Consider the following 25,923-nt stretch of genomic DNA (forward strand, 5'->3'; position numbering starts at 1 on the left):
GTGTGTGGCCTAACAGTTGTAAGAACTGATGAAGAGAGGGCAATGAGGGATCAGTCCTACAGCAGTGATCTCTTAATATGGGAAGAGGTTCTTGTCTTTCCTTTCAGCTTCTGTGTACATTTTTAACGAATAAGAGGATAGAATCCTAAGTCAAGGATGGCAAATAATATAGATTGCTATTACTTCAGGAAAACAGGTGATAATCTGTGAGAAAGAATATGTAGTTTTTAAAAATACCAGGTTTGGTAGGCTTAGGTCAGGAGACATATCTGTCATAAAAGGGAAAGCAAATTCTTTAAATTTATGGGTAAGAACAAGTTTTGGATGTTATAACTTTTGAAGAAGAAAGATTTGAGACCCACAAATTGTTGGGCCAGTTACAGAGGTAGTCACTATTTCCCAGCCTGTGTGGTTTGCTATATATATGTGTGTGTGTATTTATTTATTTATTTGAGGTGGAGTTTTGCTCTTGTCGCCCAGGCTGGAGTGCAGTGGCACAATCTCAGCTCACTGCAACCTCTGCCTCCCAAGTTCAAGTGATTCTCCTGCCTCAGGCTCCCAAGTAGCTGGGATTACAGGCACCCACCACCATGCCTGGCTAATTTTTGCATTTTTAGTAGAGACAGGGTTTCACCATGTAGACCAGACTGGTCCCAAACTCTTGACCTCAAGCGATCCACCTCCCTCAGCCTCCCAAAGTACTGGGATTACAGGTGTAAGCCACCGCGCCCAGCCTACTTTGCTATATGTTTCTAACTGGACCATATCTTCATTAAAAATAATGAGGCCGGGCGCGGTGGCTCACGCCTATGATCCCAGCACTTTGTGAGGCCAAGGCGGGTGGATCATGAGGTCAGGAGTTCAAGACCAGTCTGGCCAATATGGTGAAACCCTGTCTCTACTAAAAATACAAAAATTAGCCGGGCATGGTGGCGCACGCTTGTAGTCCCAACTACTTGGGAGGCTGAGACAGAAGAATCGCTTGAACCCGGGAGGCCGAGATCATGCCACTGCACTCCAGTCTGGGCAACAGAGCAAGACTCCATCTCAAAAAAAAAAAAAGGATCCATAGATAACTTTTGATGTATATTCTTGGTTATAAACTGTTCTATGGTAATCCTGGGTTACTTAGAGCTATCCTCCTCCTCTTTCAAAATTTCTGTCTTTTTTAGTGAGAACATGGAACTATATCAAGAATCTAAATGCTTAGTGGTTTATAGCGGTTCTCAATGGGACAAATAATAAGAGAATGTATTTTGGTTGTCACAATGATTAGGGCATTCAGTGGGGTGCTGGTCATCTTGCAAAGTGTGGCACAGTCCTGTACAACAAAGAATTGTCTTGTGTCCTGTATGACTTTTGAATATATCATCAGAGAAACTCTACAGATATAAATCAGTAGTCTGCTAGTATGTAATACTGACACATCTTTTTATAAGTTATCCAAAAAGCTCAATAACTCATATTCTTTTAGAATTGAAAACTTTGAAATCTCAGTCATGACCTAAATTATAAATTTGCTTACAGATGTCTATATATTATTAAATAATTTGATTGTAAGGTTATAATAAGAATAATAAGACAGCTCTAGGAGGAGCACAATGTTCTTGAAATTTATGTTTTGATTTTTTTCTAGAAGGGAGACATATTCAATATGCAAAGATTTCACAGATCGTTAAAGAAAGATTTAATCAACTAATTTCTAATCGTTCAGAATACCTGAAATATAGCAGTTCATTGGCTGCTTTTATAATTGAAAGAGGTAAGTCCACATATTTGGGAAAAACTAATATTGTAATAATCTAATAGTAATATTTTAGTTAACTATCTTTGCCCCTGTACACAATGGTGTTGCATTGATTTGAAGTGACTTTTTCTAGTAAGTGTGGGTCATTAAACACAAAGCTTCTCCAAGGTAGAGATAAAGCACACTGACCAGGACCCAACAGAGAACTGCAAAATGGTGAAAGTCCTAACATTTTAAACCTTAGCCCTGCTGGCATCACTACCCTTCTGAAATCTAGTCCTCAGTAACATTAAGAGTAGCATCTTTTCTTCATTTTCAAGTAAGAAAAGATTGAAATATGGAATCTTATTCTTGTGGACATATAATGTGATTCTAACTATGTTTTTATCTTGTGTTAACGCTTTAATGTTCTGAGTTCATCATTAATTAAAACCATTTGAGTCTTACATTCATCTCTGAATTAGATATTATAAATTATATAGAAACAATTTGAGATTTGATTCCTATTCTTAAGGAGTTGTTATGATCTAAGTAGGCAGAGTAGATAAATATACTAGTCGAAAGTCTAAGATGATAAAAGTTAAAACTTGTTTTCCATAATGCAAAAAGTGTGTGAGAATTCATAGATAGGAAAGAAATGATAGGGTTTAGAATCTTTTGGAATAGGCATGACTTAAGCTGTAACTTTAAGGGTTGATAAAATTTGGATAAATAGAAGAAAGGAAGACATTTTTGCAGAGAGAAAGGAATGAGGGAAGCAGCAGTGAGAAAACTGCAGGACAATGAGGTAAATTTATTGCTAGCACAGATTAGTCTGTGTACAGGAGTAATACAAAATGCAGTTAGATTGATAAAATAGTGCCAGATTATGGAGTGGTTTAAAAACAGGTCAAAAGTTAAATTTAATAAGATCAGTTAAAGCTGTAATTTCAAACAGTGATAGACCATGGGCTGTAATTGTTGGGAGCATTAATCAGACTCAGTTCTGCTATTTAAATTACTTTGGGCAAATTATATACTTAACGTCTCTATGCTTTAATTTTTTCTCATTTCTTAAAAGTAGAGATAATAGAAACAGTGACAACCCAACTTCATGGAGTTGTTAGGATTAGATATAATAATGTCAATATTAGTACTTGGCATTTAGTAAAAGCCTAATTTCATTTGTAATGATTAAGATAAATGAATATTTAAACAATAATTGACAAATAATTTTTTAAAAGATTGCAGGGGTTGAACCTGAATTATGGAATCACAATTTATGTGGTTGTGATGGAGTGCCTACATTAGAGTTGAGGTGGACATAAATGGGAAGGGAAAAATACATTTTTAAAAAAATTTGATAAGGTGAAAGTGACAATAAATGATAGATGAAGTGACATGAATAAAAAGTAATACCAACATTTAAAGTTGACGTAGGATAATCATGTTTCCTCATCCATAGGGAATCTAGAAGCTAGTGTGAAGCTGATTGAAGAAGAGCATGGATAAGAATAATAAATGTAGTTTTAGATAATATGAGTATGAATATAAGCAGGAAAAGCTTGAGTGCAATCAGATGAACATTCCTGGAGTAACTCACATAATCAGTACATATTTAAGATGTATTATTAGAAATTTTGCCTCATCAGTTTTTAAAAAATTTCAGTAGTTTTGGGGGAATGGGTGGTGTTTGGTTATAGGGATAAGTTCTTTAGTGGCGATTTCTGAGATTTTGGTGCACCCATGACACAAGCAGTCTATGCTGTACCCAGTGTGTAGTCTTTTATCCCTCATCCCCCCTGCTACCCTTCCCCCGGTGCCCCAGAGTCCATTATATCATTCTTATGCCTTCTTGTCTTCCTGGCTTAGCTCCCACTTGTAAGTGAGAACATAGAATGTTTGATTTTCCATTCCTCGTTACTTCCCTTAGAATAATGGTCTCCAACTCTATCCAGGCTGAGTAGTATTCCAGGGTGTGTGTGTGTGTGTGTGTGTGTGTGTGTCTGCGCCACAATTTCTTTATCCACTCATGATTGATGGGCATTTGGGCTTGTTCCATATTTTTGCAGTTGCAAATTGTGCTGCTATAAACGTGTGTGCAAGTGTCTTTTTCATATAATGACTTTTTTTCCTCTGGGTAGATACCTAGTAGTGGGATTGTTGGATCAAATGATAATTCTACCTTTAGTTCTTTAAGGAGTCTCCATACTGTTTTCCATAGAAATTGTACTAGTTTACATTCCCACCAGCATTGTAAAAGTATTCCTTTTACACCACATACACGTCAACATCCATTATTATTTTAATTTTTAAATTATAGCCAGTCTTGCAGGAGTAAGGTGGTATTGCATTGTGGTTTTGATTTGCATTTCCCTAATAATTAGTGATGTTGAGTATTTTTCATATATTTTTGTCCATGTTATATCTTCTTTTGAGAATTGTCTATTCATGTCCTTAGCCCATTTTTTTGATGGGATTATTTTTTTTTTTCTTGCTGATTTGAGTTCCTTGTAGACTCTGGTTATTAGTCCTTTGTCAGATGCATAGTTTGCAAAGATTTTCTCCCACTCTGTGGCTTGTCTGATTACTCTGCTGATTATTTCTTTTGCTGTGCAGAAGTGTTTTAGTTTAAGCCTCATCTGTTTATCTTTGTTTTTGTTGCATTTGCTTTTGGGTTCTTGGTCATGAACTCTTTGCCTAAGCCAAAATGTAGAAGAGTTTTTCCAATGTTATCTTCTAGAATTTTTATGGCTTAATGTCTTAGATTTAAGTCTTTGATCCATCTTGAGTTGATTTTTGTATAAGGTGAGAGATGAGGGTCCCAGTTTTATTGTTATACATGTGGCTTGCCAATTATCCCAGCATCATTTGCTGAATAGGATGTCCTTTCTCCACTTTATGTATTTGTTTGCTGTGTCAAAGGCCAGTTGACTGTATTTTGTTTTATTTCTGGGTTCTCCATTCTGTTCCATTATTCTGTTCCATTATTCTGCGTGCCTAGTTGTATACCAATACCAATACCATGTTGTTTTGGTAATTATAGCCTTGTAGTGTATAGTTTGAAGTCTGGTAATGTGATGCCTCCAGATTTGTTCTTTTTGATTAGTCTTACTTAGACTATGCAGGTTGTTTTTTGGTTCTATGTGAATTTTAGGATTTTTTCTAGTTCTGTGAAGAACAGTGATGGTATTTCTATGGGAATTGCATTGAATCTGTAGATTGCTTTTGGCAGTATGGTGATTTTCACAATATTGATGCTACCCATCTTTGAGCATGGGAGATGGGAGGTGTTTCCATTTGTTTCTGTCATCTGTGATTTCTTTCAGCAGTGTATTGTAGTTTCCCTTGTAGAGATCTTTCATCTCCTTGGTTAGGTATATTCCTAATTTTCTTTTCTTTTTTTTTTTTTTTTTTAGCTGTTGTAAAGGGGGTTTAGTTCTTGATTTGATTCTCAGCTTGGTCACTGTTGATGTATAGCAGAGATACTGATTTTTGTACATTGATTTTGTATCCTGGAACTTTATTGAATTCATTTATCATATCTGGGAGGTTTTTGGATGAATCTTTAGGGTGTTCTAGATATGCGATCATACCATCAGTGAACAGTGACAGTTTGACTCCCTCTTTACTGATGTGGACGTTCTTTATTTCTGTCTTTTGTCAGGTTGCTCTGGCTAGGACTTCCAGTACTATGTTGAATAGAAATGATGAGAGAAGGCATCCTTGTCTTGTTCCAGTTCTTTCTCAGGGTGAATACTTTGAACATTTCCCTGTTCAGTATAATGTTGGCTGTGTGTTAGTCATAGATGGCTTTTATTACCTTAAGGTATGTCCCTCCTATGCCAATTTTGCTGAGGGTTTTAATCTTAAAGCGATGCTGGATTTTGTCAAATGCTTTTTCTTTATCTATTGAGATGATCACATAATTTTTGTTTTTAATTCTGTTTATGTGGTGTATCACATTTATCACCTTGCATATGTTAAACCATCCCTACATCCCTAGTATGAAACCCACTTGATCATGGTATATGATCTTTTTATGCTCTTGGATTCAGTTAGCTAGTATTTTTGTTGAGGATTTTTGCATCTATGTTACTCAGGGATATTGGTCTTTAGTTTTCTTTTTATTTAATGTCTTTTGCTGGTTTTGGTATTAGGGTGATACTGGCTTCATAGAATGTTTTAGGGATCATTCCCTCTTTCTCCATCTTTTGGAATAGTTTCAGTAAGATTGGTACCAATTCTTCTTTGAATGTCTGATAGAATTCAGCTGTGAATCTGTTCGGTTGCGAACTTTTTTGTTGGGATTTTTTAGATTATGGTTTCACTCTGACTGCTTGTTATTGGTTTGTTCAGAGTTTTATTTCTTCCTGGCTTAATCTAGGAGGGTTGTCTGTTTCCAGGAATTTATCCATCTCTTCTAGATTTTCTAGTTTGTGCATGTGAAAGTGTTCATAGTAACCTTGAATGATCTTTTGTATTTCTGTGTCATCACTTATCTCCTGTCTTGTTTCTAGTTGAGCTTATTTGGATCTTGTCTCTTCTTTTCTTGGTTAATCTCACTACTGGTCTATCAATTTTGTTTGTCTTTTCAAAGAACCAGCTTTTCGTTTCATTTATCTTTTGTTTTTGGTGTTTTTTGTTTCAATTTTGTTTATTTCTGCTCTGATCTTTATTATATCTTTTCTTCTGCTGTGTTTGGGTTTGGTTTGTTCTTGTTTCTCTAGTTCCTTGAGGTGTCACTTTAGATTAGTCTGTTTGTGCCCTTTCAGACTTTTGATATAGGCATTTAATGCTATGAACTTCCCGCTTAGCACCCCTTTTGCTGTATCCCAGAGGTTTTGATAGATTGTGTCACAATTATTGTTCAGTTCAAATAATTTTTTAATTTCCATTTGATTTCATTGTTGATACAAAGATCATTCAAGAGCAGATTAATGTCCATATACTTGTATAGTTTTGAGTGTTCCTTTTGGAGTTAATTTTCAAATTTATTCCACTGTAGTCTGAGAGAGTACTTGATATAATTTCAATTTTCTTAAATTTACTGAGACTTGTTTTGTGACCTGTCATATGGTGTATCTGGTAGAATATTCCAGGTGCTAATAAATAGAATGTATATTCTGCAGTTGTTGGATAGAATGTTCTGTAAATATCTGCTAAGTTCATTTGTTGTAGGGTATAGTTTAAGTCCATTGTTTCTTTGTTGACTTTTGTCTTGATGACCTGTGTAGTGTTGTTAGTGGAGTATTAAAGTCCCCGACTATTATTGTGTTGCCGTCTATCTTTTTTCTTAGGTAGTAGTAATTATTTTATAAATTTGTGAGCTCCAGTGTTAAGTGCATATATATTTAGGATTATGATATTTTCTTGTTGGACTAATCCTTTTATCATTATATGATGTCCCTCTGTGTCTTTTTTAACTGCTTCTGCTTTAAAGTTTGTTTTATCTGATATAAGAATAGCTACTCCTGCTTGCTTTTGGTTTCCATTTGCATGGAGTATCTTTTTCCACCTCTTTACCTTATGTGAGTCCTTATGTGTTAGGTGAGTCTCTTGAAGACAGCAGAAATTTGGTTGGTGAGTTCTTATCCATTCTGCAATTCTGTATCTTTTAAGTGGAGCATTTAGGCCATTTACATACAACATTAGTCTTGAGATATAGGGTACTGTTCTATTCATCATAGTAGTTGTTGCCTGAATACCTTGGGTGTTTTTTTTTTAATTGTGTTATTGTTTTATAGGCCCTGTGAAATTTATGCTTTTATGAGCTTCTATTTTGGTGTATTTTGACATTTTGTTTCAAGATTCATAAGTCCTTTTAGCATTTATTTAATACTGGCTTCGCAGTGGTGAATTCTCTTAGCATTTGTTTGTCTGAAAAAGACTTTATCTTTCCTTCATTCATGAAGCTCAGTTTTGCTAGATACAATATTCTTGGCTGATAATTATTGTTTAAGGAGTCTAAAGGTAAGACCCCAATCCCTTCTGACTTGTAGGGTTTCTGCTGAGAAATCTACTGTAAATCTGATAGGTTTTCCTTTATAGGTTACCTGATGCTTTTTTCTCACAGCTCTTAAGATTCTTTCCTTCATCTTGACTTTAGATAGCCTGATGACTTTGTGCCTGGGTGATGATCTTTTTGTGATGAATTTCCCAGGTGTTCTTTGAGCTGCTTATATTTGGATGTCTACATCTCTAGCAAGGCCTGTGAAGTTTTCCTAAATTTTTCCTTCAAATATGTTTTCCAAACTTTTAGATTTCTCTTCTTCCTCAAGAACACCATAGTTATTATGTTTAGTCATTTAACATAATCCCAAATTTCTTGGAGGCTTTGTTCATTTTTTTATATTCTGTTTTCTTTGTCTTTGTCAGATTGGATTAATTAAAAGCATTGTCTTTGAGCTCTGAAGTTATTTCTTCTACCTCTTCTAGTCTATTGCTGAAACTTTCCAGTGCATTTTGTATTTCTCTAAGTGTGTCTTTTCCAGAAGTCATGATTTTATTTTCATTATGATAGCTATTTCTCTGGAGACTTTTTTATCCATACCCTATATATGTTTTTAATTTCTTTAAGTTGGTTTTCACCTTTCTCTGGTACCTCCTTGAGGAGCTTAATAATCTTCTGAATTCTTTATCTGGCAGTTCAGAGATTTATTCTTGGTTTGGATGCATTGCTTGGAGAGCTAGTGTGAACTTTTGGGGGTGTTACAGAATCTTGTTTTGTCATATTACCAGATTTACTTTTCTGGTTCCTTCTCATTTGGGGAGACTGTTTCAGTGGAAATATCTGGAACTCAAGGCCTGCTCTTCACATTCTTTTTTTTCCATGGGGTGAGCCCTTGATGTGGTGCTCTCCCCCTTCCCCTAAGGATGGGTTTTCCTGAGAGCCAGACTGCAGTGATTATTATTGCCCTTCTGGGTGTAGCCATCCAGCAGGATTACCGGGCTCCAGGCTGGTGCTGGAGAACGTCTGCAAAGAGTCCTGTGATGTGATCCATCTTCAGGTCTCCCAGCCATAAATACCAGAACCTGCTCTGGTAGAGGTGGCAGGGTAGCGAAGTGGACTCTGTGGGAATCCTTGGTTATAGTTTTGTTTAGTGTGCTGGTTTTCTCAAATGCTGGTTACACTGGCAGTGAAGTTGTCACATGGACAGACTCAGGACCTCTGCTTAGCCAGGATGTTGCAGGCGGTGAAATTAGCTGTTGTTTTCTCCTTCTTTGGAGCAGGGTGGTTCTGTTACGAGTTGCTGTAATGGCTTGAGTTGATTGGCCTCCAGTCAGGAGGTGGCACTTTCAAGAGGGCACCATCTGTCGTAGGAGAATGGGGGGATATAAGCTTGCCCTACCTTAGCCAGGATAAGTATTCAGGTTTCTCTGGCAGTGGATGGGGCTGTAGAGCTCCCAAGAGTGCCTTTTGTCTTCGGCTACCAGCATAGGTTGAGAAAAACCATCAGATAGAAGCAGGGTTAGGTGGGTCTGAGCTCAGACTCTTCTTGTGCTGTGGCCACGGTGGGGAATGGCAGGATGCTTCTCAGTCCAATGGAGTTATGTTTTAGGGGGATTATGGCTGCCTCTGCTCTGTCATACATGTCACCAGGGAAGTTGGGGAAAGCCAGCACTGACAGGCCTCACCCAGCCCCCACACAGCCAACAAGGCCAGTCTCACTCCTGCAGTGCCCCGCCAACAGAGCCCAGTTTATATTCAGGCTGCAGCAGGCAGCGCTGAGATCTTGCACGAGGAGGCTATAATCCTCCCCACTGAGAAAGCAAGCAGGGCTTTCAGGCCTGGAGCCTGTCATAGGGTGTGGCTTCTGCACTCCTATCTGCACTTCCCATTCACCCCCATGGATTCTGCTCAGGAAAATTTGTGCTTGGTCAAAATTATTACAGACTTCAGCTAGAAGCTTCCTTTAACCTGTAGCCCCTTCCCAGTCCCACTGGCTGCGTTACTCAAGGACCCCTGTGAGATAAAGCCAGGGATGACTTCCATAGGCTGGGGACTGGGATCTCCTACAGGGCTCTTCCCGCTGTTGGTCTTCTGTTTTGCTTGGCTCCCTAAATTTATTTCATCTCTAGGGAAAGTTAAATCCTTCTCCTGTGATCTGGATTTTTAGGTTCCCCAGTAGGGATGTGTGTTCAGAGGTAGGCTTTTCCCCACCTCACACTTTGGGAACTCAGTTTTTCAGCTGTCTCACAGAGTTTGCAATGGCAAGCTACTTCTTTCAAAGGGTCTGTAAATTCCTTTGGTTTTCCTGGTATGTTCCTGCAGTGGTTCTTGGAGTAAAAGTTCATGATGTGAGTCTCCACACGCTATTCTGTTCATCCAAGTGGAAGCTGCATGTTAGTCCTGTGTCCTATCTGCCATTTTCCCCCATCAAAAATCACCTTATCATTTTTAATTGGGTCTATAAGAAGCTATCAGATCTAAATGTCCTTCCCTCCCCTGCCACCAAATCTATATACTTTCCTGCACTTGTACCCATCTTCTCTACTGTGACAGTAGAGGAAGCATCACTCCTCCTATAGGCTAATTCTTCTACTTAAATTCTGATTCCATTCCTTCTCACATCTTGCTAAATTCCTTCTTTTGGTTAACTCTTCTTTTTTCCGGCAATAACAAACAAGTATCTCCCTGAAGCATTGCAAGTTGAGTTACAGAGCTGAGAAAGAAGCTGAGTTCTTTGCTACATTATTACCCTTTACAACTCAGAGCTTATTATCACCATTCCGGAACTTATACTGACACTATATAATTCTATTTAAGGGAAGGTTTACGGACCTGGTTATTGAGTCAGATTCAGCATTCATGGCATGACATCCGTATCCTAGGAATGAAAGCAGAGTCTGTGCCCAGGTGTCCATGAATAATATATCTTTGCTTTCATCTCTTCAGTATTCTGGAAAGCCTGGCTTCCCAAATTTCCATCCTAAAAATAAAACAAAGAAACCCTCCTTTAAACCCATGACACCTTTCTACTTAACCCAGTCATTATTTATTTGACTTTGTAGCCAGACTTCATCAAGAAGCTCCTGACAGCCACTGTGTCTACTCTTTACTTCAACTTAGTTTTTTCTTTTTCTCCACTACTTCTTGGAAATTAGCCTTGCCAAGGTACCCACTGCCTGCATGTTGCACAATCCAGTGGATTTTGTTACCTATTCACTTGACTTTCTAGAAACATTTAACACAGTTTACCACTCCTTGTTTTTTCTACCACAGTACCCTCCTGGTCTACCTGCTCTCCACCCTACCACCCACAATATTGACAACAAATTTCAAATATACAATACATTATTATTAACTGTAGTCTCCATGCTCTACATTAGGTCTCCAGGAGTTATTAGTTTTACAACTCCAAGTTTGTACCCTTTGATCAATGTGTCTCCATTTCCCCTTCTTTCTAACCGCTAGTAACCACCATTCTACTCTGTTTTTACGAGTTCAACCTTTTTAGATTCCACATATGAGTGAGATTATGCAGTGTTTGTCTTTCTGTGTCTGGCTTACTTCACTTAACATAATGTCTTCCAGGTTCATTCATATTGTTGAAAATGGCAGAATTTTCTTCTTTTTGGGGGGGCTGAAAAATATTCCATTATATATATGTCATGGTTTCTTTATCTGTTCCTTTATTGGGACATGTAGGTTTTTTCTGTATCTTGGCTATTGTGAATAATGCTACAGTGAACATGGGAGTGTAGATATTTCTTCCAATCTTAATTTCACTTCCTTTGGATATATACACAGAAGTGGGATTGCTGGATTATATGGCAAGTTATATTTTTATTTTGTTGAGGAATCTCCATAGTTTTCCACAATGCCTATAAAAATTTACATTTCTGCCAACAACATATAAGGGTTTTATCTACATCCTCACGAAAACTTACATTTTGACTTTTTGATAATAGACATCCTAACAGGAGTGAGGATATCTCATTGTGATTTTGACTTGCATTTCTCTGGTGATTAGTGATGTTGAGCACCTTTTCATATACCTGTTTGTATGTCTTCTATAAAAGAAAATGTCTGTTCAGGTTCTGTTTCCATTTTTAAATCAAGTTACTTGCTTTTTACTGTTGAGTTGTGGGAGTTACATATATACTTTGGGTATTAACCCCTTATTGGAGATATGGTTTGCAAATATTTTCTTCTGTTCCGTAAGTTGTCTTTTTATTTTGTCGATTATTTTGTTTGCTTTGTAGGAAGGAAATGTAACCCAAGATGGTTTTTACTTCAGTAGCTTCCCCATAGCTCTTTGGTAAAAATCCATAAACTTCTCAGTATAGTATACTATATAACACCTCTTTCTCCAACTTCATCTTACACCATCCCCTTCACCCCACTTACTAGATTAGCTATACTTCTCTCTTTGCCCAGGAGAGAAATAGTCTTCTGTCTTTGCCCAGGGCAGTGTGCACGTGTTATTTCTTTTGGCTAGAATACCCTTTGTCTCGCTGGTGCTGAAGCTTAAATTTCAGCTCGTTAGGGAGGGATTCTGCAACTGGTCTGCATGAGGTAAGCTTTTCTCTCATTATCTTCATATAAGCCCCATAATTGTTTCCTTCAAAGCACTTATCACACTTTGGGGTTGGTTTAATCTTTTTTCTGTTTCTTCTGCTGTAAGCCTCATGAAGGTATGTCTTGCTCAACATTTTATTCCTAACATCTACTTTTGTTGCCTGGTACTTGGTAACACCTCAGCAATTGTTGCTGAGTTATTAGGTTGGTGCCAAAAAAAAAAATGACAAGAACTGCAGTTACATTTGCACCAGCCTAATAGTAAAAATCCATTAGGCGGTTGTGAATGTAGAACTGAACTTTGTTTGAAAAACGAAAACTCAAGATTTCCTGAAGTAAGAGATAGAAAGAATGAGGAGTATATTCAAAGGGGAATATGGGGAAAAAAAAGAGTGATCTAGTCACTGGGGAATGGAAAGACCTAATCAGAATGTGAGAGGAAAAAAGACTGCCAATTTGAATTGTGTATTTTTGGAGCATAGAATTTCCAGGAGATTTCAAGCAGGCCACAGCAAAATGTGAATGGAGCAAAGTTACTGGAAAAAGCATAAGGTTTTTTTGTTTGTTTGTTTTTTGTTTTTAAGAAAGCAGCTTCAGTAGAACAGAGAAAGAAATTAATTTGATTTATAGGGTTTGAGTGGATTAAGAAAAATTAGAGGCATTAAATATAGATAATTTAAGACAGAAGCAGAATGGCAAATGAAGTGTCTTAGAAGATCAAATACATCTAGATGTAGAAGAAATAGAAAGCGATATTTGAAAGCCAAGGACATTTGGTAATTCCATTGATCATGGTAAAGATTTAGATGAAGTATTATAAAACATCTGCCTTTTTCATTTATATTTCATTATAAAACATCTGCCTTTTTAATTTTGCTTCTTAGAAGACTCTAAGACTCTTATTTTAAATTGTGGAATTATTTTTTCATCTTTTCAGTTAATATATTCTACTAAATTAAAAATGATGAGATAGAGGTAAGAGGTGAATGTAGGGAAGAGAGAGGTTAAATTAACCTGCTACTGTCTACCTTTTTCTTTCAGCTGGACAACATGAGGTTGTAGCTATAGGCACAGGTGAATACAATTACAGCCAGGACATTAAGCCAGATGGAAGAGTATTGCATGACACTCATGCTGTTGTTACAGCAAGAAGGTCTCTTCTTAGGTAAGACAATACATATATTAATGTTATTAAATATGAATGCCCTCAGCCCAAAGTAACTTCATATAAATGTCTTCATTTACAAATGGAATTTTATTGATCATAGAGCCAAGGATGTCACATTTTCTTATCTAAGTCATCGGATTAATTCCATGTCACCTTTGGAACATTTATCATAGTAACGCCAATGTCTACCCTGTGGATTTTAGTGGCTTCTATTATTAAGAACTGTGAACTCAGTTTTTGTTGTTTTGTTTTGTTTTGAAATGGAGTTTCACTTTTGCTGCCCAGGCTGGAATACAGTGGCACAAATCTCGGCTTACTGCAACCTCTGGCTTCCAGGTCCAAGCGATTCTATTGTCTCAACCTCCCAAATAGCTGGGATTACAGGCATGCGCCAACACACCCGGCTACTTTTTTGTATTTTAGTAGAGACAAGGTTTCACCATGTTGGTCAGGCTGGTCTTGAACTCCTGATCTCAGGTGAGCCACTTGCCTTGGCCTCCCAAAGTGCTGGGATTACAGGGGTGAGCCACCGCACCCGGCCAAACTCAGTTTTAAGAATCCTGCAATCAGCTGGGCATAGTAGCTCTCACCTGTAATCCCAACACTTTGGGAAGCTGAGGTGGGAGGATTGCTTGAGTACAAGAGTTCGAGACCAGCCTGGGCAACATTGTGGGACCTAGTTTCTACAAAAAAATAAAATTAACCAGGTATGGTGGCACACAACTGTAGTCCCATCTACTTTGGAGAATGAGGTGGGAGGATTGATTGAGCCCAGAAAATCGAGGTTGCAGTGAACCAAGACTGCTCCACTGCTCTCCATCATGGGCAATAGACGTACATCTTGTCTCAAAAAAAAAAAAATCCTACAATATATTTTTTTGAAAGATAAAAATAACACTTTTTTATGACTAAAGTTACTGGAAAGTGTAGCTTTTGACCCGCACTAAGTAGGCTTGGTCTTATTTCACCCCTGAATTAGCCATAATTGTCCAAGGACAGCACCAGAAACCAACAGGTTTTTATTCATGAGGATTACACAAAGTTTACCATAAAGCAGAGTATATAGATAAGGGATTCTTGAGGCTGACATATCTTGAAGAGAGAGGGAGAAAAGGGCTTAGGTGAGCATGCCTAGTTTCTTTTTCCAGACTCAGTCACTCTGTTCTTTACAAGAGGAATGAATAGCAAGTGGGAAAGAAAGGAATTTGCAAGTCACTTCATATGAAAACATGTAAAATGGGAAATGAGTGCTACTTCTCATAATATCCACCAGCTTTTGGTTATTTTTTGTTTTGTTTTTAATTCTTCTTTATTCCTACTAAATTAGGAATTCTTTTTTAAATTTTATAATTTCTTATTTTTAATTTTTGTGGGTACATAGTGTATATGTTTATAGCGTTCATAAGCTATTTTGACACAGGCATACAGTGCATAATAGTCACTTTAGGGTAAATGGAGTATGTATCACCTCAAGCATTTATCTTGTGTTACAAAGATTTCAATTATAGTCATTTAGTTATTTTAAAATGTACAATTAAATTATTGACTATTGTCATCCTGTTGTGCCATCAAATACTAGATCTTATTCATTTTGGTTCTTTAAACCATTAAAATGACTTTTTATTTAACTTTTTCTTATGGATGTTTTGGGCGGTTTTTTGTGTGTTTTGTTTGTTTGTTTTTGAGACGGAGTCTTACGCTGTTGCCCAGGCTGGAGTGCAATGGCGAGATCTCCACTCACTGCAACCTCCGCCTCCCAGGTTCAAGCAATTCTCCTGCCTCAGCCTCCCGAGTAGCTGGGATTACAGGCACCTGCCACCATACCCGGCCTTTTTTTGTATCTTTAGTAGAGAATGTTGCTGGTCTTGACCTCCTGACCTTGTGATCTGCCCCCCTCGGCCTCCCAAAATGCTGGGATTACAGGGGTGAGCCACCGTGCCTGGCCTCTTACGGATGTTTTCAAAGACACTCAAGTGAGAATAGGATAACAAATTCTCATTCAGCTTCAACAGTTATTAGCATTCTACTGTCCTTGTTAAATCTCTGCATTCTCACTTTTTGTGTTGGTGTTTTCTTCACTAGAGTATTTTAAAATAAATTTAGATACATACACCTGAAAAAATATAAATTTGTGTCTCTAATAATGAGGAATCCTATAATCTTAAACATTATTCAGCAAGACTATGAGGGTAATGCATCTCATTGCCCTCCACCCCTCTTGGTGCTTATGGAATTATTTGACCTCTTTAAAAGCTACCTCTTTTGTGTTACTTATTCCTGTGCTTGGCGTTTTTACATACTGCTGCTTAATTTTTACTATATATTTTTGATGATGGGATTCAAGGGAGTATATCTTAAAGTCATGGTTTATTAAATAAGCAAAATAGTATTTGTCCTTGATTTGATTAGTTGTAGTCTTTCAGGAGATCTGCTTCCCTTTTTAGAAAAAAAAATTTGAATTTTAAAATTTTTAATTATTGTGAATATATAATCTGCATATTTATAAGGTAAATGTGATATTTTGATACAACCATTAAATGTGTAATGATCAAGTCAGGGTAATTGGGATATCCCTCTCCTCAATCGTTTTTCATTTCTTTGTGTTAGGAGCATTCCATTTCCACTCATTTAGTTATTTTGAAACATACAATAAATTATTGGTAACTGTATCTGCTTCATTTCTTAATACAGCTTCTGGTGTTCATTGTATTGTTCCTATGCTCTTGTATTTTTTCTTTAAAACCATTAAGGAGCAGGGACCACAGTTTTTGTCATTTTTGTAGTAGTTTGTTTGGGTAGGTAAGGGGAAATAGAAGTAAGGCAGAAAGTTGGCAGTTCATCTGGGAGGCTGGGAGCAGAACTCTCTGAGGAAGAAGGGAGCAATCAGTAGAGAAATGAGTCTTTTGGAGAAGATGATAGTTGGGAGACTCTAATGTGAAACAAAAGTGGAGTAGTAGAGAAAGGATGGTGTTTTAAGTCAGGTTACAGGGCAGACTGGGCTCCAGTTGAGAACTTTCAAGAAACTTAATTTTTCATTAAATAAAGCTAAGATTGATTTAGGAGTTCTTACCTGTGTCAAAACTTTTAACATGCAGGACATTGCTTCTGACACATGTGGACATGATGCTCATTAAGATATATCTTTTATAAAGTTTATTACTTGACAAAATTATAACATTTATTTTAGGTACTTTTATAGACAACTTCTGCTCTTCTACAGCAAAAATCCTGCTATGATGGAAAAATCAATATTTTGTACAGAACCAACTTCTAATCTACTCACTCTTAAACAGAATATCAACATTTGCCTTTACATGAACCAGTTGCCTAAAGGATCAGCCCAGATTAAGTCACAGTTGTAAGTATTATAGAAGTTGTTTTTAAAAGCAAGTAGGATGGCCATGCCATACATTCTGACTTTCTACAGCAAATAGAACATATAAATTCTAATTACCCGTATTTTCTCTTCAGCTTTGAGTTGTTATTTGTGGCCTGCAGGAGACCCCAAATCCTTTTCCCTTCCCGTCAATCTAATCTATTACTTCTACAGGTTGAGCTTCCCAAATCCAAAAGTCTGAGATTCAAAATGCTCCAGAATTGGAAACTTTTTGAGCACTGACATGACGCTCAAAGGAAATTCTCATTGGAGCATTTCATATTTCAGATTTTTGGATTTGTGTTCAACTGGTATGTATAAAGCAAATATTCCAGTGTGAAAAAAATAAAATCTGAAACACTTCTAGTTCCAAGCATTTTAGATAAGCAACACTCAACCTGTGACTAAAAGTTCCATGTACTTCACCACTTTTTTTGCTATGCTATGCTTTAAAAAAATCTTCTACTCCTTTCTACTTTTAAGACCTCATAAACTTGAGGAAGTATGGATTTATGCACTACTCACATACAAATACGAGAGTTAAGAAAAACTTTAACCTATGGCCAAAATATTATTGCTTTGATGAATGAATATCATCAGGTAGCATAACATTTAAACAGTACAAACAAGAACAAAGAAGACAGTAAAAGTCACTTTAAGTCTGACCATCTAGTGGTAAACATGGGTAATATTTTAATAAAAATCCCTCTAGGAACACCTTTGAAATTAAGGTCAGTGTTCTCTAGAAAGAACCTTAAAGAAAAATAATTTTGCATTTTTATTGAAGATGACAAAGAAAAATAGTTTTCCTTTTTTTCATTCTTTCATTTTGTAATTTTAAAAAATTTTCATACAGAGGAAGGAACTAATTCACAAACTATGATAGGGATAACAATTAGTGTTTCTTTGGGTTTTAAGGGACATAAAGTGGTGATAATATGAAAAATATCTCTGTTGGAAGCTCTAGATGTGGTTCATTTCTGTTTTATAGTACTATTGTAGAATAAAGGCACTCCACTCCTACCTTGCTTTCTTGCATCTGTTTCTGTTACTGGAATTAAATGTACACTGGGAAGTTAAACATGTTACAGAACAGCTGTTAGGTACAGGTAGATTTTGTTCTGTCACCTTTGTTTTTTAAAGGAAGAAACTTTCTTTTCTTTCTCTAGACGTCTTAATCCACATTCTATATCTGCATTTGAAGCCAATGAAGAACTCTGTCTCCACGTGGCTGTTGAAGGCAAAATTTATCTGACTGTTTACTGTCCTAAAGATGGTGTTAATAGAATAAGCAGTATGTCCTCAAGTGACAAATTGACCAGATGGGAAGTGCTTGGTGTACAGGGAGCATTGCTGAGTCATTTTATACAGCCAGTTTACATCAGCAGTATACTTATTGGTGAGTGGGATTTCAGAACCTCCTGGGCCTCTCACTCACTAAGCAAATTCTCTGTATTTTACTTATCAGTATAAAATTAGTTTTAGTTTTTGCATACGTGAAACTTTATTTAAGGTCAAAACACAGATCTGCTGTTTTGTAGAGCTGTTGGTTTCATGATAAATTATCAGGGAGAATGAATGAATCCCAAAGGTGGGAGGCAGAGGTTGTGGGATAAAGATGCCATAAGTTGTAGTGACCGTCCAGCTGGATAAGGAAATTCCAGAGAGAGCTCCTTCTGGTGCTTTGGGAAAGATCAGAGACACAGGGAAATGAGGGAAAGATCAGAGAAAAACCTTGGTTGTGAAGCTTATTTCTGAGGCCTTTCAATTTTCAAAGCACTCAGCATGCTGAAGTTTCATATTTTGAGGAATTGTTTTCTGTACCCCAACATTATTTTAAAGCATTATTTTACTTTTCAAAAAGTTTGCAGAAACAAATTTTATGCTGTGGATGTTCTGTAGATAATCATTTTGTCATTTTATGGTGGTGGAATTTTTAAATTTAAAACATGGGATCTAGGCTTGCATTAAAAGGGCATTTACTATATTTAAACAGAACTATTTAGATAGAGTAATCTGGAAAAAAATTCTCTTTCTTGACTATTAAAAAATAGCTAGATTTATATTCATTCTCAAGCTTTTTACAATATATCTTGCAAATTTGGTAACCCCATTACAATTATTTTTTCTGCTTAAGTACTTCAAAAATGTTTGTCCAGAAGTTATTTCCATCCAGAGGTCCTTTTCATATACTGATTTGATTTGTATAATTGAAGTGTAGAGAATCCTTCCTAGTGAAGAAATCCACTTTAAATATAGTTCGTGGACTTTTAAGAAGCAGCTGATAACCTTAGGGAATCTGTTATTCAGTCCTTTCTTTTTCAGATCACATTCAGAATGTTAATAAAATGCTTGCCTAAAGTCAGTCAGTTTGCTTAGTGGTAGAGCCTGAATTCAAACCCAGTTTTCATAACTTTTCACGCTGCTGCTTATGATAGATCATATATATATATATATATATATATATGAATTATTGTCAGGTCAGGTCTTCTATAGTGTTTGATTAGATTTAACCTTTGACTTTAACCTTGGAGTTTCGTGTTATTTCAGATCCTTTTGAATGAATCAAATCATAATTTTTCAATTATATGGTATAATTTTAGATATTTATTTTCTAGGAACAAGATTGAGCCTCAAGATGTATTAAAATCATACCTCAGATATAGTAAATTATTAATGCACACATATATGAAGGGAAAAAGTAAAATTTATAATAAAATATTTATAAACTTTTTTCTATTATATTAGGTTTTATACTTCCCATTAAAGCATCTACGTAAACAATTTGATGTTTAAAGCATTTCATGAGGAATTTGACTTACAGGTGTTTTTTTTTTCTTCCTTTTTCCAAATGTCTTTTTTTTTGGGGGGGGGGGTACAACTACTGTCATTATTTCATTGCAGAATGTAATAAATACATTAGGCTTTTTAAAAATCCTTATTATCTACTGTTCATTGTAGATATATTAACTATTCCTCACACATTTTTTTTCCAACTTTTATTCTGTGCCCAAGTATATTTTTATTTGATTAGTTTTCTTTTGTCACTCTTGTTTTGTCTTGATCATTTGTCACTCTTGATAAACACTTAAGGAAGTGTTTAGAAAAAGGATACCAAAAGCAGTACATGTCCTTTTTACATCATTTTCTAGTGCCCAGATAGTCATAATGCAGCCCTAGTAACTATCTCAACAATTTTAATCATAAGGACACAAAACTTTATTTGTGAAATATGTCTAGTGGTTTACAAAGATTCTGTTGTTGCAAGAACTTCTGACCTTCTGAGGAAGAAAGAGATATGCTTTAGAATTACTGTTTTTTAAATAAGAATGACTGCTTCCTAACTTCTGTTTTAAGTTTGATGCAGCTCACTGTTTTTTAGTAGTAACATTGCATCTTTTTGAGATCTCTCCTTCAATAATTATTATAACTGAGAATTCAAAGCTTTTGGTATTGGCACAGTTTTAACCAGAAATGGTCATTCTTTAAATTATTTTGCAGTGTGAAATTGAAGCATTGTGGTATTGGCAAAGTTGTAATTTGTGGCCCTTAGATGTTTGAAAGTAACTCACTTTCACCAGTTATTTCTCATCCAGATTTGTCAACTGTACTTGCAAGAAATCAGCATACAATGCGGTCAACAAATCTGGATGTACCAGATTTCTTTCTGAGTCAGTTACTAAAGTACCAGTTTCTGAGCAGCTGTGACTCTTTGCTAATATTCAGTAGAGGGACCTGTCATTATTTTCTGTATCAGAGTCTTTTTTAAAATGGAAAATCTGTTATTACCTTGTTCTGGTTCTGATTAAGAATATGGAGTAGATGCTAAGAGAATAGAACTAGGAAAGGGAAGGTTGAAAGATAAAGGATAGAGAAATGGGCTTTAGACGATTTCCAATCATTTCATTTATTTTATTTTGGGATGTTCTTTTAATATTGAACTTGAGTGTTTTGTTTTTGCTTTCTAGGTGATGGGAATTGCAGTGATACCAGAGGCTTAGAAATCGCTATAAAGCAACGTGTTGATGATGCACTCACTTCAAAACTTCCAATGTTTTACTTAGTCAACAGACCTCATATTAGTTTAGTACCCTCTGCATATCCCCTTCAAATGAACTTGGAATATAAATTTCTGAGTCTGAATTGGGCACAAGGAGATGTTTCTTTGGAGATTGTGGATGGCCTGAGTGGGAAGATCACTGAAAGGTTAAAATTACTAATTTCTTTAAACCATATATTACTTAAGCAAAAGAAGACATTTTATTGCAGTTTTTATTCTGACTCTTTTGGATACTATTTATTGAACTCTGAACAATAATTATTATCATTAGTCAAGTGTGACTATGTTACAGGCATTGTACTAATTTTAAAAATTTTTTAATTTTAAATTTTTTTTCTGATGAGAAGACAGATGTGGAGAAGTTATATAGCTTACTGAAATTACATACTAAATGGCAGAGTCACCTTTCAAACCCAAGGAATCTGGCTCCATAACGTATGTTTCTCCAACTGTAATTTCATATCATTAGTATTAGAATCATGTAAATTTTTTTAGAAATTCAATTTCTTCTACTGAATCTGACTTTGGATCTGGGACTCAGGAATTATATTTTTTTATGCTCTTCCAAATATTACTTATGTACCCTTACGTGTAAGAACTATGGTACTGTGTTATACTGTCTTATAATAACCCTGTAGGTTGAGAGATTTTATTTATTTATTTTTTACAGTTTCTGAGACTCAAGCTAGGTTAAATATCTTGCCTAAGGTTACCCAAGTAGTTAATGACACAGCTTGGGTTCTAACCCAGACATTTTATTTTCAAAGCCCTTGTTCTTAACTATGATGTTGTGTGCCTTCTAGACATTTCTTCGTAATGTCTCTGCCATTGATTATTAAGTAAAAGTAAAACTGTTCTTTTAGTGTGAACATACATTTGTAATGAGGCAGTGAATAATGTTAAAAATTTAAATGCTTAAAATTGCTTTCTTTGTGAAGGAGAAATTTAAATGAAGACCACATACAAATGTTTCTTAGCAGTCAAGAAAGCTCATACCTGTAATCCTAGCAGTTTGGGAGGCTGAGGCAGGAGCATGGCTTGAAGCCAAGAGTTCAAGACCAATCTGGGAAACATAGTGAGAAATCCAGTCTTTTTTATAAAAAATAAAAAGTATTAACCAGGAGTGGGAGTGCATACCTGGAGTTCCAGCTATTTGGGAGGCTGAGACAGGAGGATCACTTGAACCTAGGAGTTTGAAGCTGCAGTGAGCTATGACTGTATCACTGCACTCCAGCCTGGGCAACAGAGTGAGACCCTATCTCAAAAAGGGAAAAAAAAAAGAAAAAAACAGACAAACCCATAAACATTTCTTAGTATGGACTCAGTTAAGCATAACACTGATATTTTAACTAGGATGAATTATACTATTATCAAATGACTTAGGCCAGCATAAACAAGTGCTTTACTATTAATAACAGACTCAACTAAACACACAGACAAACAGGTCTTCTATGAAAGACATCAAAAAATTATTCACTGAAAACATAAAATAATGGCATAACAAGATGAAATTAAGTGTGTGAGCTTATCACTTTTTACGGCCAAATACTTGCCAAGTAATTACAAATAAAAAGAAAGCAGAGGCCGGGTGCAGTGGCTCACGCCTATAACCCCAAGACTTTGGGAGGCTGAGGCGGGCAGATCAGCTGAGGTCAGGAGTTTGAGACCAGCCTGACCAATATGGCGAAACCCCATCTCTACTAAAAATACAAAAGATTAGCTGGGCATGGTGGCAGGTTCCTGTAATCCCAGCTACTTGGGAGGCTGAGACAGGGAAAATCACTGGAAACCAGGAGGTGGAGGTTGCAGTGAGCTGAGATTGCACCATTGCACTCCAGCCTGAGCAACAAAGTGAGCCTCCATCTTTAAAAAAAAAAAAAAAAAAAGCCAGAATATATAGTCTAAATATTAGACAAGGTGTAATTCAGTCTCAAAGCATTACAATAAGACAAAAAAAACCTTAGCAATATAGACAGTATAATTTATACGGAAGACAGAACAGTTAAGAATGTTTATGCAGAACGTGACATAGCCACATTCACAAAGCGGAAATTATAGATGACAAGAGGAAAGGAAAACTAGAAACACACTGCTAATAGAGACAACAATTCACCTCTTTCAGTTCATGGTAGATCAGGTGGACAAAACAGTAAACAAAGATATAGCCGTTTTAAATAACAGTAAGGTAGATTTCATTACTTTAAACTCTGCATCATAAAAATATAAAATGTACCTAGTCCTCAAGAAACTATAGAACACTAACAAAAAGCTGACTGTGTGTTAAACGACAAAGAAAATAACAAATTCCAAAGGAAAAGTAGAAGCAATGTAGACATATTCTCTGATTATGAGGAGATAAAACTGTGAATAACAAACCAGAATACTAGGAGCTGATTTTACTGGAAAAATTCTGACTCCTGGTTCAAAGGGGAAATATAAACTGAAATTGCAGAATATTTAGAAAATAGGGATATTGAAAATATTACATATCAGAACTTGTAGGTTATACAGTTTAAACAAAGCTGAATAGAAAAGTCAGAGCCTTAAGTGCATGTAACAATAAATGATAGAAATAAATTAGAAATATAAAGAAAAGAGCTTTAAAAAACAAAAAAGTCAGAATTACTTATGAAATGCTGATAAGAAAAATCACCAATGTCATATAAAATAATAGATAAGGATGCAATCAGAAATAGAGAAAATTAAGAGGATCATAAGCTATTTTAGGTAACCACACAAATATAATTTAAAACCTGAATGAAATGGATAAATTTCTAGGAAAACATTACTTGCAAAACTTATATATAGAAGGAGGAAAAATATAAACGTTATTTTCTTTTTTTTTTTTTTTTTTTTTGAGACGGAGTCTTGCTCTGTCGCCCAGGCTGGAGTGCAGTGGCGCGATATCGGCTCACTGCAAGCTCCACCTTCCAGGTTCACCTTCCTGGTTCACGCCATTCTCCTGCCTCAGCCTCCCGAGTAGCTGAGACTACAGGCGCCCGCCACCACACCCAGCTAATTTTTTGTATTTTTAGTAGAAAGGAGGTTTCACCGTGTTATCCAGGATGGTCTCTATCTCCTGACCTCATGATCCGCCCGCCTTGGCCTCCCAAAGTGCTGGGATTACAGGCGTGAGCCACCAATAAACGTTATTTTCATGAGAAAGTTACCAAGAAGGCACCTTAGCTGTTCCTCAAAGTACCATTCTGAGGTAGTTCAGAGGGTTTTTTTCTAAACCTTTAAAAAGCAGATAATTCCACTGCTATCCAAAAAGATGGAAAGCATCCAAATACTTTTATGAAACAAGTATATAATACTTAAATCTGATTTTTTAAAATTGCTAATCAAAGCCACAATGAGATACTATCTCACACCAATCAGAATGGCTATTATCAAAAAGTCAAAAAACAGATGCTGGTGAGGTTGTGGAGAGAAAGGAACACATATACACTATTGGTGGAAGTGTAAATTAGTTCAACCGTTGTGGAAGACAGTGTGGCAATTCCTCAAAGACCTAAGGATGGAAATACCATTTGACCCAGCAATCCCATTACTGGGTATATACCCCAAGGAATATAAATCATTCTGTTATAAAGACACTTGCACGCATATGCTCATTGCAGCACTATTCACAATAGCAAAGACATGGAATCATTCCAAATGTCCATCAATGATGGACTGGATAAAGAAAATGTGGTACATATACATCATGGAATACTATGCAGACATAAAAAAGAATGAGATCATGTCCTCTGCAGGGCCATGGATGGAGCTGGAGGCCGCTATCGTTAGCAAATGAACATGGGAACAGAAAACCAAATCTCGCATGTTCTCTCTTATAAGTAGGAGCTAAATGATGAGAACACGTGGACACATAGAGGGGAACAACACACAGTGAGGCCTTTCAGATGGTGGAGAGTGGGAGGAGGGAGACGATCAGGAAAAATAACTAATGAATACTAGGCTTAATACTTGGGTGATGAAATAGTCTGTACAACAAACCCCCATGACACACATTTATCTATAGAAAAAACCTGCACATGTACCCCTGAACTTAAAAGTTTACAAAAGAAATTGCTGCTCCTCCTCTCCACCACACAAAATTACAGACCAAACTCACCTATATCCAAGAAAAATTGCTGTATAAAAGATCAGGGAGCAGAATTTAACAGCACATTACAATAATATGTTTTATACAGTAACACCAACTGGCATTTTTTTCTAGGAATACTAAGATAGTAACGTAATAGAAATAATACCAGACTAGAAACTCTTACTAATGTGTCATATTAATTAATCTAGGGAAAATATCATATGTTTATCTCTATAAATTCTAAGAAGGTGTATAAATAATTTAGCTCTACAACTATTCTAGATTAAGATACTCAATAAAAAGGAATAGCTAGGTAGTTTTTTTACAGGATAAAGTATATCTTTATTAGTCAAAAAATATTATCATGATTGATAAAATGTCAGAGGCATTCCCACTAACATTCAGAGCAAGACATTATTTACTGTTATTGCTGTTACTCAGCATTTTACTGGAGGCATTAATACATTTGGACAAGGGAAATGAGAGAGAGAAAATATTGGAAAGAAGGAGCTACAATTATCACTCTTTGAAGATGGTATTTATATCCAAAAATCAAGAAAATTATCAAAACCACTGCAACAAAAGTGTCATGGTGGAAAATTAATATGTAGAAATCAATAGATTTTGTACACATGAGTGTATGTTAGCTATTGCTGTGTATAAACTACCTCAAAACTTAGTTGTTTAAAACAACTATTGTTACTACTTGGAAGTTCTTGAGTCAGCTGAATGGTTTTTCTGGATTTTCTTGGGCTTTCCCACACATCTGGGGTCAACTGTTGGTCAACTAAAGGTCAGGTGAGCTGATCTTAGCCTGTGTTCACTTACCCTCTAATAGGCTAGTCCTAGCAGGGTCACATGGGAGAGGCAGCAGTGCCAAGAAAATAAGAACACAAGGTATCTCCAGGCCTAGATTCAGAATTATCACACTGTCTATTGTGTTTGCTAAAACAAATCACAAGGCTACTAAAATTC

The 25,923-nt window shown here is 36.2% G+C and overlaps 1 protein-coding gene across 10 annotated transcripts in view; it reads left to right on the forward strand.

Annotated features, from left to right (window-relative positions):
* ADAD1 (adenosine deaminase domain containing 1) overlaps positions 1-25,923 on the forward strand; it is a 50,774-nt gene that overhangs the window by 15,605 nt on the left and 9,246 nt on the right. For 7 of the 10 annotated variants that reach the window (NM_139243.4, XM_005262743.4, XM_024453888.1 and 4 more), the window contains 5 exons: positions 1,637-1,762; positions 13,293-13,416; positions 16,607-16,777; positions 17,965-18,194; positions 20,764-21,001. In NM_139243.4, coding sequence (NP_640336.1) covers positions 1,637-1,762; positions 13,293-13,416; positions 16,607-16,777; positions 17,965-18,194; positions 20,764-21,001 — 889 coding nt within the window. The remainder of the gene's footprint in view (positions 1-1,636; positions 1,763-13,292; positions 13,417-16,606; positions 16,778-17,964; positions 18,195-20,763; positions 21,002-25,923) is intronic. The other 3 variants (XM_024453889.1, XM_005262744.4, NM_001159285.2) reach the window with 1 other exon arrangement.

The sequence above is a fragment of the Homo sapiens genome, chromosome 4, assembly GCF_000001405.40.
Source record: "Homo sapiens chromosome 4, GRCh38.p14 Primary Assembly".
In the NCBI taxonomy this organism is placed as follows: domain Eukaryota; kingdom Metazoa; phylum Chordata; class Mammalia; order Primates; family Hominidae; genus Homo; species Homo sapiens.